This window comes from Homo sapiens, chromosome X (genome assembly GCF_000001405.40).
Source record: "Homo sapiens chromosome X, GRCh38.p14 Primary Assembly".
Taxonomy (NCBI): domain Eukaryota; kingdom Metazoa; phylum Chordata; class Mammalia; order Primates; family Hominidae; genus Homo; species Homo sapiens.
In genome coordinates this window covers 49,528,395-49,541,021 of record NC_000023.11, presented here as the reverse complement: position 1 = coordinate 49,541,021, position 12,627 = coordinate 49,528,395, and the positions used below count along the sequence as shown (strand labels likewise).

General features: G+C 44.2%; 2 protein-coding genes across 2 annotated transcripts in view; both read right to left on the bottom strand.

The window, feature by feature from the left end:
- Positions 1-1,483: 1,483 nt before the first annotated feature.
- GAGE12C (G antigen 12C) lies at positions 1,484-8,845 on the bottom strand. Its single transcript, NM_001098408.3, has 5 exons — positions 8,738-8,845; positions 7,607-7,698; positions 7,021-7,141; positions 4,073-4,198; positions 1,484-1,597 (listed from the first exon to the last, which is right to left on the bottom strand). The coding sequence occupies exons 2-5, from the start codon at positions 7,688-7,690 to the stop codon at positions 1,575-1,577; spliced, it is 354 nt and encodes a 117-aa protein (NP_001091878.1). The 5' UTR covers positions 7,691-7,698; positions 8,738-8,845; the 3' UTR covers positions 1,484-1,574.
- A 2,194-nt stretch (positions 8,846-11,039) lies between these two features.
- GAGE12B (G antigen 12B) overlaps positions 11,040-12,627 on the bottom strand; it is a 188,819-nt gene continuing 187,231 nt past the window's right edge. Inside the window, exon 5 of the mRNA NM_001127345.3 lies at positions 11,040-11,153. Coding sequence (NP_001120817.2) covers positions 11,131-11,153 — 23 coding nt within the window. The 3' untranslated portion in view covers positions 11,040-11,130. The remainder of the gene's footprint in view (positions 11,154-12,627) is intronic.

Sequence of the window (12,627 nt, the reverse complement as noted above, 5' to 3'; positions counted from 1 at the left end):
GACAGTTTTCTTTAAATCAATAGAATGATAAAAGTCATCATGCTCTTAGCCCACCCGCACAAAGGCACAGATTAACTTTAGTCTTTATATAGATAAGACCCCTATATAAGAAAAACCAGACCAGGCCAAGGCTCACGCCTGTAATCCTAGTATTTTGGGAGGCTGAGCTGGCCAGATCACCTGAGCTCAGGACTTCGAGACCAGCCTAAGCAACATCAGAAAATCTCATCACTACAAAAAACAAACAAAAAACCATCGAAAAATTAGCTGGGCATGGTGGCATGTACCTATACTCACAGCTCCTCAGGAGGCTGAGGTGGGAGGCGCGCTTGAGCCCAGGAGGTCAAGGCTGCAGCGAGCTCTGATAACACCACCGCACTCCAGCCTCGGTGACAGAGTGAGACGCTGTCTCAAGTTTTAATAATCGAACCTAAAAACGTACAAATTTATCAATCGAATTCACTATATTAACACATGAATGGGAAAAAACGCTGTGGTAATCGAAATAGATGCACTGTTTGATGAAAATCAACATATATTCAAATGAATACTCTCAGCAAATTTGGAACAGAATGCAATGACTCACTCTGATAAAGTCCGTCTACAAAAAAAGGAGAGTGAATAGGATGGCGAAATGTTGAAATTTTTCGGTTTCTCATCAGGGAGAAGACAAGGATGTCCACTGTCACCATTGTAACGGGTGGGTCTGCACAATGCCATAAAATCAGAAAAGGAAATAAAACTCTTTACAATGCCAACGACGGGCCCGCCACGGTGGCCCACGCCAGTAATCCCAGCACTGTGGGAGGTGAGGTGGGTGCATCACTTGCACTCAAAAGTTCAACAACAGCCCGGGAAACATGGCAAAACCCCGTCTCTACAAAAAAATACAAAAGGGAAAAGAAAAAAATATGGCGGAAACAAAACTGCTCTTATTCCAGGATGATATGTTTCTGTATATTGAAGACTGAAAACGACCTAGAAGTAAACTTTAGAATTCACAAGCATATTTCACAAGGCCGCTGGATAGAAAACCAATATGTAAGAATTATGTCTCCACCGGGCACGGAGGCTCATGCCTGTAATCCCAGCACTTTGGGAGGCCAAGGCAGGTGAATCACGAGGTCAGGAGTTCAAGAGCACCCCGGCCAAGATGGCGAAAGCCCATCTCTAGTAAAAACACAAAACTTAGCCAGGCGTGCTGGTGGGTGCCTATAATCCCAGCTACTCGGGAGGCTGAGGCAGACAATTGCTTGAATCCGGGAGGCGGGGTTGCAGTGAGCAGAGATCGCGCCACTGCACTCCAGCCTGGGCGACAGAGCAAGACTCCGTCTCAAAAGAGGACAAAGAAAAAAAGAAAAAAAAAGAACGATGTCTCTACATACCAGCTCAGAGAGTTACAATACACGATTTCAAAGAATGATACATATTTCACAGCATCAAAAAGCTAGAAATAAACTTCACAAAAGATGCGCAAGACTTCTTTGCAGAAGGCTGTAAAGCTTTATTGGGAGAATTTTAATGAACAAATTTCCAACATAGGAGCAGCCTGCATCATTTCAACGTGTCTTCTTTTAACACTGTGATTGCTTTTCACCTGTAACAGAAACACAACGATTGGGAACATGACTTAGCAACAGATTATTCAGATGACCCTAAAGGCATACAAAGCACACTACACTTTGGGTTTTATTAAATGGACTAAAAACAGAACCCTATGGGTGATCCCGTGTCTTACACGCAATTGAACCTCTGCATTAACTTTGAGCGTAGACCTGCAGAATTTAAAAGGAATTTCCTCCCTGAACATCAAGTGCTTCCTTTCAAGTCACAAGCACTTACAATTAACAGTCAGCAATTTGGAAAACACATGTGTAAAGCATACTTCAGTTGATTACTCAGGAAGTACTAGAGTCATGGTCTTTCAACTTCAAATCTTATCAATTCATGTCTCTAAAGGTGAAACTTACATGTAACATTTGATATGATTAGAGATGATTATATCGTATGTGTGTCTACAGTCTTATTAGAAATAGTGGCTCATGAAGACTGACAGTGGGGCAGGGAGCATGCATAGCACAGGCATCTTACTCACACCCATGCTGAGCATCACTGACCTACATGCCACAGATGATACGAACTAAACGGTCTCTCGCCATTTGATATTTATTTCAGTCACTCAAGGTTTCCGTGGGGAAAGTTTTAAGAAGCAATTGTACCATTTGACCCAGCCATCCCATTACTGGGTATATACCCAAAGGACTATAAATCATGCTGCTATAAAGACACATGCACACGTATGTTTATTGCGGCATTATTCACGATAGCAAAGACTTGGAACCAACCCAAATGTCCAACAACGATAGACTGGATTAAGAAAATGTGGCACATATACACCATGGAATACTATGCAGCCCTAAAAAATGATGAGTTCATGTCCTTTGTAGGGACATGGATGAAACTGGAAATCATCATTCTCAGTAAACTATTGCAAGAACAAAAAACCAAACACCGCATATTCTCACTCATAGGTGGGAACTGAACAATGAGATCACATGGACAGAGGAAGGGGAATATCACACCCTGGGGACTGTTGTCGGGTGGGGGGAGGGGGGAGGGATAGCACTGGGAGATGTACCTAATGCTAGATGATGAGATAGTGGGTGCAGCGCACCAGCATGGCACATGTATACATATGTAACTAACCTGCACAACGTGCACATGTACCCTAAAACTTAAAGTATAATGATAAATAAATAAATAAATAAATAAATAAATAAATAAATAAATAAAAGAAAAAAAAAGAAGCAATTGTTCATTAAAAGCCAGAGAAACCCTGCCTGGGCAACACAGTGAGACCTCATCTCTACAAAAATGAAAACAAAAAAATGTAGTCAGGCACGGTGGCTTGTGCATGTAGTTCCAGCCACTCGGGAGGCTGAGGTGGGAGGACGGCTTTAGCCTGGGAGCCAGAAGTTGCAGTGAGCTGAAATTGCATCACTGCACTCCAGCCTGGGTGACACACTGAGACTCTGTCGCAAACAAACAAACAAACCAAGAAGAGGGAGAATTCACAATTTCACAAGATCTTACACTACGTATTCAGCTCTCCACACGGAAAAACTAGGATGAAGCAGAGGGCCCGCTCACTGTCTTACTGACAATGAAATCTCAATTCAGAGATTTTCAGATGACTCGGGCCAGGGTTTCATGATTTGTGATTAACAAACCATGCGAAGCAGATGATCTCTGTGTCCCACGCATTCTATGCAACAGGATCAGAGTATGAAAGAAACGGAATGCAAAATGGTTTTAAAATCTCTGACTTAAACTCACTATTTTCATAAGAACCAAAGATAGGTTTAGAAGGGAAAGGACTCACTCAGAATCTCGCCAAGGCTGTAAGAGCTGGTATTAGAACCCGCATGAGTGCTTCAGCATTTTTCACACCAAGTGATGGGTGTTACAAACGTGTTATGTATTGATTAAAAGCAGACCTTTACAAAAGCATCTGAAAATTGTGAGCTACTGGTTTAAGGATTTACACTCAAAACTTTTAATTCAACATAGCTTTGACTCAGTTTGTTTCCCTACCTGACAGTCTATCAGTCGGGTGCTGGGGCCTGAACTACGTTTCAAATAACCTTTATATAAGAACTCTGTTACTAAAGAGGCAGTATTGTTACCTCTCCGTTATTACAAATATAATGCTGGGTCGGGCACGGTGGCTCTCGCCTGTAATCCCGGCAATTTCAATGGTCGAGGCAGGTGGATCACCTGAGGTCAGGAGTTCGGGAACAACCTGTGCAACATAACGAAACCCTGTCTCTACTAAAAATACAACAATTAGCTGGGCGCGGCGGAGCATGCCTGTAAGCCCGGCTCCGCCAGAGGCTCAGGCAGGAGAATCACTTGAACCCTGGAGACAGAATTTCCAGTGAGCCGAAATGGCACCACTGCACTCCAGCCTGGTCTTCAGAGCGAGACTCCGTCTCAAAAACATAGTAACAATTACAATATGATACTGTGGAAACAGACACCCTACAATGTGCATGCCTAATGGATTGCCTACCTTCTTCAGGCGTTTTCACCTCCTCTGGATTTGGCGGGTCCATCTCCTGCCCATCAGGACCATCTTCACACTCACACCCAGTCTGTGGGTGACCCTGTTCCTGGCTATGAGCTTCAGGCTTCGGCCCTTAAAAATAAAAAATACGTATCAATTTAAGCAGTAAAACATAAAGTATGAATAAGAAAATAATATTCATGCTCTCGGTATTATTATATAAAAGCTTTAGCTAACGTAATACTAAATGTGTTGATAAGAATCCCAGGAACATTATTTCAGGAGTCCATTAGCAGAAAACAGGAAAACAAGGTGTTCCAAATAATACCCTCTTCCTTTCCGAAGACTGCCCTCAGACAACTTTGCTGCCTCCTTTGCACTTCTCTCTTATTCTACTTCTGATTGTCCTTCTCGTATTAAATGACTCAAGGCTCAAATCCCGTCTCTCACAGCACTTACACTCCTAGCGCTTAGACTCTTACATGGCATGAGTAGCCACCAATAAACGCTGAGTGAGAAAACTCTTTTAAAAATACATGAAAAAGCCCAAACTGCAGAATATTCTGCAAACCAACTGGTCTATCCTCTCCAAAAATGTCCGTATCGTGAATGACAAGAAAAATTAAGGAAACATTACAGGTTAAAGGAAACTAAAAACACCTGAAAAGCACATGCAAGGTGTGATTCTGAACTGGACTCTGGATCAGAAAAAGAAATCCTATCAATAAAATTATCTGGGCCGGGCGTGGGGTCTCACGCCTGCAATCCAAACATTTTGGGATGCCAAGGTGGGCAGAGCAGGTGAGGCCAGAAGTTCAAGACCGCAGTGGCCGGCGCCTGTAGTCCCAGCTACACGGGAGGCTGAGGCATGAGAATCCCTAGAACCTGGGAGGTGTAGGTTGCAGTGAGCCGAGATCGCACTACTGCACTCCCACCTGGCCCACAGAGAGAGACTCCGTCTCAACAAAGAAAAAAAAAAGGAAAAAAGAAATTTTCTGGGGAACTGGCAAAATTTGAGTATGCACTCTGTATTAAATGACTCCATTTTCTCATTGTTAAATTTCCTGATTTTTATCTTTGTGCAGTGATGATCCAAGAAATGACTTTCTCTTTGTTCTGACGATATACACACCCTCAAGTACATAGGGTAAAGGACCATAATCCCTGAAACTTTATCGAGACAATTCACCATTAATAACAGTAAACATATATCCGTATGTGTGTGTGTGTGTGTGTGTGTGAGTGTGTGGGCAGCACGGTAAGAGACGGAGGGAAGAGATGTGAAACCTATGAAGCGAAAGCTACTAACAATTGGTGAATCCAGATGAACAGTATATGAGTTCATTGTACTATTCTTGCAAATTTTCTATGAATGTTATGTCTTGAAGATACATACAGTAAAAATTTAAAAGAATATATGATAACTGCACTGAACTTTAGGAAGAAAGGAATTTCCAATTGTGGTAAAAAATACAGATATCCTAAAATTTACCATCTTAACTATTTTTAAGTGGTACAGTTCACTAAGGAGTTACGTTTGCAACATTACCAGCCACTAGGCACAAAAACTTTGCATCTGTGTTTTCCTATACCATGAAAACTTTATTTATTTAATGAATTTATTTATGTGTTTATTTATTTATTCATTTATTTATTTATTAGCAATGAGGTCTCACTGTGTTTCCCAGGCTGGGCTTGAACTCCAGGACTCAAGCAATCCTCTCACCTCGGCCTCCCAAGTAGCTGGGACTATGAGTGCATGGCATTCAGCCCAGCTTTAGACCTTTCTCCTAAATGACAATCTAAGGATAAACCACAGGACATGTATAATGCTTATATTCAGCCCTAGAGTACCAACAGCAGTGTGCGTCAGCTGAGAAATCTGAAGTCTACCACGTGGGTAGGATTTCAGTTACAATTACAATGTCAGTTTCTGAAGGATTGATTAGCTGGATGGATTTGAGGACTATGGAAATCTTACAGTCACGACACCCATTACCTATTGGGGTAAAGAGAAACTTCACTTTGTTCAAATAAAGTTATATTTAGGTCCGAAGGTCCTAAAGGTAATATTCCATAAATGAACCCCGTGAAGAACAAAGCACCAAATATAACATTGTTTGTGAATCACAGAAAATATACTGTCCCCCGCACTGAGAATAAGGGAGTGGGCGGACAGCAATTAATGGGCATTGTTGTCAGTCAGATTCTAGGAACTTTTAACAGTGCATCCCTGGAATAATCCATGACCTCCGTTACATAAATGCTTCCTTTCAAAACATTTTATCTCGGAGAAATTATTTCCATCTCACGTTAATCTCAGGATAATTCCGTTTTTGCTTTTCTAACCATAAAAGGATTTAATCACCTCCTAAAGGCCGCTGAGAAAAATCACTAAACCAGCTACCTGTATGGCAGTATCCTCATTTATCCAGCTTTTATCAAACGTACCATATAAAAATATCAATCAAAGGAAACGGGGGCCAACATTCAGCGACTCGGTTTTTGGAGCTGCTCCTGCTCCTCTGAACTGGGTCTATTCTTGGGTCAGTACTAAGCTACCTTACAGTAAAGCCTTTTGAGTTTTAAGCATTTTCAGCAAAATCACTTCCTTCTTTCCAGCAACATACATGATAGGAAGACACAAACCTTAGAACACAGTACAAATGTTGTATTCACCAGTCAAGGGTTCTTGGATAACACACAATCCTGGCACCTCCATTCTCTCATTCATAAAGTCGAGAACTTTTATCATAGTGAGGGATTTGCCTAAGCTAAGCTGCAAACTACATAGCCTCCTCGCTTTTCCAGTCAATTTCAGGCATTCTTTCCATTGTTTTCTTTCCTCCTCTTCCTCCTATGTGACAATGCCTAACACACACACACGTGCACACACACACACGAACACACACACACGCACACACCAGCAGACGTTCTTCTTCCCTTTCCCTCACCTTGACCTGCAGATGCTCCCTCATCCTCTCCCTCCTGAGCAGCTGCAGGATCCTGACATTGAGTTGCTGGTTCCCCTTCTTCAGGTGTTGCTGGTTCCACTTCATCACTGAACTGCTCGGGCTGGGGAATACGTGTGGGTGTGCAAATAGAAAATAAGTTTCGTTATTGATACAAAATTTTACATATATACACAGAATACATAGCTATTTCTGGTCCTAACTAAGCCTAAAGACATTTCTCCAACTCTATGCTCTATGCCCAATAAGGTTACTCCACCCACAGGGAGGTTACTGTGAGAAAAGTGACGCACGAGGACTTTGGGGGCTATTATACTCTGTGTTGGAATACATGTGTACAATCTGTCATTAACAAACAAAGCCGGAGAAAGAAGTCATGGGCAAAAGCTGAAGAACACGAGAGGAAAAAAAAAATCCTCCAGAATCAATGTTTCCTTCATGAGATGCCATCCTCATTTTTTATGAGCAGGAAAGACCTTTATCAGCATTTCCACACTAATGCAACGACGCTATCACAAAAATTAATTTCTACTAATAGAAAACATCGAATTAACGTTTAAGCACTCACCCGCATAGGCCCAATCATTTCAGGAGGCTGTACATAGCGCCTTGGTCTAGGCCAATAATAGGTCGATCTTCCTCGCCAACTCATATTTCACACTGAAAACAGACAACCGTGATTGGGAACGTGCGCTCCAGAGGGCTGCTATATTCGATCACTTCCATGGATAAATGTTAACTTGCCGTTTTACTTTTGAAAATACTCTCAAAATAAGTCCCAGAGTTAAGCATACGTGTGTACGCTGTCTGAGTGCCTACAAAGCCACTTCTGCTGGCCAGGCTGGCAGAGCAATCATCTTAAGGCGTGTGGCAAAAGGCAGAGGACATTTTTTTCTAAATTTCTTTTGGACACGCGGTCTCGCTGTGTTGCTCAGGCTGGAGTGCAGCGGCGTGATCACAGCTCACTGCAGCCTCGACCTCCCGCTCAAGGGATCCTCCCACCTCAGTGTCCCCAGTAACTGGGAATACGTAGGCGAGCGCCACTGCGCCCCGCAGACAGAGGTCATTTCTGATGAGGTTTAGTTTCACAAGTGCACTCCCCACGAAAACCCTAGTGAATCACAATTCTCGTGATTGCTGCTTTGGGCACACTCCCACTTCCTAGAGCCATTCACCCCCACTCACAACAAGTTTGGTTGGACCGCACTGCCTCGCCCACTCCTTCCCACTGTTTTCGGACCTTCCATGGCGGAGGTGAGACCTTGCAGTGCTTCTCACTCGGGCGCTCCGCACTCCACACCGCTGAGGGGGCACTCGCCAGGCCGCAGCCTTCCCAGGTGCCAGGCCCCTTCTTCACCGCCCGCCTCGCCCCCGCCGGGGGCCCCATTCAGGGAATCTGCCCTGTGTCGTCGGGGATCCCGGCACCTCGGGACTTCCATCCCCCCAACAGCACTCACCCCGTCTTCACCTGAGCCCCTGACCGCCTCCCCTCCACGGCCCACCTTCCTCCCCGTCCAGGCCCCTTCACGACCACGAAGCCGCCGGTGGCCTCGCAGCCTGTGAAGGGAAGGAGGACGACCTCGTGGCCCTTCTCCCTCGGAGGCCACAGACCAGGAAGCGGGACCCGCCTGACCCACCCGAGGCCCTCTCCACCCTCACTCACACTTCAGCCCCCGGGATGACTGGCCTGCACACCTACCAGATGAATCTCAGTAGAGGAAAAAGAGTCCGGACGGCAGGAACCACACAGCACTGCCTCACAGCTCCCTGGCGTTCTTCACGTGGGCGAAGGGGCCGGGCAGAAGACGCCCAGTGAACATGCGCACTGAGGCGGGAGCCCAGGGAGCATGCGCGGCTGTGGGCTGGGGAGGGCTGCCGTTCCCAGCGCCACGCCCCAAACCCTCCATGCCCATCCTCATTGAGGATAAGGGAATCCCACCTCCCTCTGCTGTTTCCTATGCCTCTGGGACTCAAGTAGTGCTCCCCTCAAAACTCACCCCATCTTCAACTGAACCCCACCCCCAACCCAGGGCCCTCTCTTGCCCCGGACCCACCATGGGGACAAGGACCACTGTGACTGGCTGGGAAGACAGGTAAACCACCTGCGAAAACAGAAATAGCAACCTATCCCAAAAGGAAATTGTTCAATGTGAACAAGTCAGAGAAAGAGACTGAAAGAAAAATGAATAGAATCGCTAGGACCCGTAAGAAAATGCTAAAACGATATCTATCATTTGTAGCATCAGAATCGCAGAGGGTGAAGTGACAGTATTAGGGAAACAGGACAGCCAGAGTGACACCACGTGAAAATATACTCCGTCTTGAAAGCAGCAAGATACATAGTCCTACCAGTCACAACCCATGGTCCTAAGATGTTTGGAGTTGAGAAAACAGATGAAAGGTACCTCCAAGGACATGCTCCCACAGCAGCGGAAAGTGCACGGTTCCCAACACCCATTAACAATATATGCTTTCAACAGAATTATGCTTTCATGGACTTACACACTGGTAAGTCAAGGACAGTTTTCTTTAAATCAATAGAATGATAAAAGTCATCATGCTCTTAGCCCACCCGCACAAAGGCACAGATTAACTTTAGTCTTTATATAGATAAGACCCCTATATAAGAAAAACCAGACCAGGCCAAGGCTCACGCCTGTAATCCTAGTATTTTGGGAGGCTGAGCTGGCCAGATCACCTGAGCTCAGGACTTCGAGACCAGCCTAAGCAACATCAGAAAATCTCATCACTACAAAAAACAAACAAAAAACCATCGAAAAATTAGCTGGGCATGGTGGCATGTACCTATACTCACAGCTCCTCAGGAGGCTGAGGTGGGAGGCGCGCTTGAGCCCAGGAGGTCAAGGCTGCAGCGAGCTCTGATAACACCACCGCACTCCAGCCTCGGTGACAGAGTGAGACGCTGTCTCAAGTTTTAATAATCGAACCTAAAAACGTACAAATTTATCAATCGAATTCACTATATTAACACATGAATGGGAAAAAACGCTGTGGTAATCGAAATAGATGCACTGTTTGATGAAAATCAACATATATTCAAATGAATACTCTCAGCAAATTTGGAACAGAATGCAATGACTCACTCTGATAAAGTCCGTCTACAAAAAAAGGAGAGTGAATAGGATGGCGAAATGTTGAAATTTTTCGGTTTCTCATCAGGGAGAAGACAAGGATGTCCACTGTCACCATTGTAACGGGTGAGTCTGCACAATGCCATAAAATCAGAAAAGGAAATAAAACTCTTTACAATGCCAACGACGGGCCCGCCACGGTGGCCCACGCCAGTAATCCCAGCACTGTGGGAGGTGAGGTGGGTGCATCACTTGCACTCAAAAGTTCAACAACAGCCCGGGAAACATGGCAAAACCCCGTCTCTACAAAAAAATACAAAAGGGAAAAGAAAAAAATATGGCGGAAACAAAACTGCTCTTATTCCAGGATGATATGTTTCTGTATATTGAAGACTGAAAACGACCTAGAAGTAAACTTTAGAATTCACAAGCATATTTCACAAGGCCGCTGGATAGAAAACCAATATGTAAGAATTATGTCTCCACCGGGCACGGAGGCTCATGCCTGTAATCCCAGCACTTTGGGAGGCCAAGGCAGGTGAATCACGAGGTCAGGAGTTCAAGAGCACCCCGGCCAAGATGGCGAAAGCCCATCTCTAGTAAAAACACAAAACTTAGCCAGGCGTGCTGGTGGGTGCCTATAATCCCAGCTACTCGGGAGGCTGAGGCAGACAATTGCTTGAATCCGGGAGGCGGGGTTGCAGTGAGCAGAGATCGCGCCACTGCACTCCAGCCTGGGCGACAGAGCAAGACTCCGTCTCAAAAGAGGACAAAGAAAAAAAGAAAAAAAAAGAACGATGTCTCTACATACCAGCTCAGAGAGTTACAATACACGATTTCAAAGAATGATACATATTTCACAGCATCAAAAAGCTAGAAATAAACTTCACAAAAGATGCGCAAGACTTCTTTGCAGAAGGCTGTAAAGCTTTATTGGGAGAATTTTAATGAACAAATTTCCAACATAGGAGCAGCCTGCATCATTTCAACGTGTCTTCTTTTAACACTGTGATTGCTTTTCACCTGTAACAGAAACACAACGATTGGGAACATGACTTAGCAACAGATTATTCAGATGACCCTAAAGGCATACAAAGCACACTACAGTTTGGGTTTTATTAAATGGACTAAAAACAGAACCCTATGGGAGATCCCGTGTCTTACACGCAATTGAACCTCTGCATTAACTTTGAGCGTAGACCTGCAGAATTTAAAAGGAATTTCCTCCCTGAACATCAAGTGCTTCCTTTCAAGTCACAAGCACTTACAATTAACAGTCAGCAATTTGGAAAACACATGTGTAAAGCATACTTCAGTTGATTACTCAGGAAGTACTAGAGTCATGGTCTTTCAACTTCAAATCTTATCAATTCATGTCTCTAAAGGTGAAACTTACATGTAACATTTGATATGATTAGAGATGATTATATCGTATGTGTGTCTACAGTCTTATTAGAAATAGTGGCTCATGAAGACTGACAGTGGGGCAGGGAGCATGCATAGCACAGGCATCTTACTCACACCCATGCTGAGCATCACTGACCTACATGCCACAGATGATACGAACTAAACGGTCTCTCGCCATTTGATATTTATTTCAGTCACTCAAGGTTTCCGTGGGGAAAGTTTTAAGAAGCAATTGTACCATTTGACCCAGCCATCCCATTACTGGGTATATACCCAAAGGACTATAAATCATGCTGCTATAAAGACACATGCACACGTATGTTTATTGCGGCATTATTCACGATAGCAAAGACTTGGAACCAACCCAAATGTCCAACAACGATAGACTGGATTAAGAAAATGTGGCACATATACACCATGGAATACTATGCAGCCCTAAAAAATGATGAGTTCATGTCCTTTGTAGGGACATGGATGAAACTGGAAATCATCATTCTCAGTAAACTATTGCAAGAACAAAAAACCAAACACCGCATATTCTCACTCATAGGTGGGAACTGAACAATGAGATCACATGGACAGAGGAAGGGGAATATCACACCCTGGGGACTGTTGTCGGGTGGGGGGAGGGGGGAGGGATAGCACTGGGAGATGTACCTAATGCTAGATGATGAGATAGTGGGTGCAGCGCACCAGCATGGCACATGTATACATATGTAACTAACCTGCACAACGTGCACATGTACCCTAAAACTTAAAGTATAATGATAAATAAATAAATAAATAAATAAATAAATAATAAATAAATAAAAGAAAAAAAAAGAAGCAATTGTTCATTAAAAGCCAGAGAAACCCTGCCTGGGCAACACAGTGAGACCTCATCTCTACAAAAATGAAAACAAAAAAATGTAGTCAGGCACGGTGGCTTGTGCATGTAGTTCCAGCCACTCGGGAGGCTGAGGTGGGAGGACGGCTTTAGCCTGGGAGCCAGAAGTTGCAGTGAGCTGAAATTGCATCACTGCACTCCAGCCTGGGTGACACACTGAGACTCTGTCGCAAACAAACAAACAAACCAAGAAGAGGGAGAATT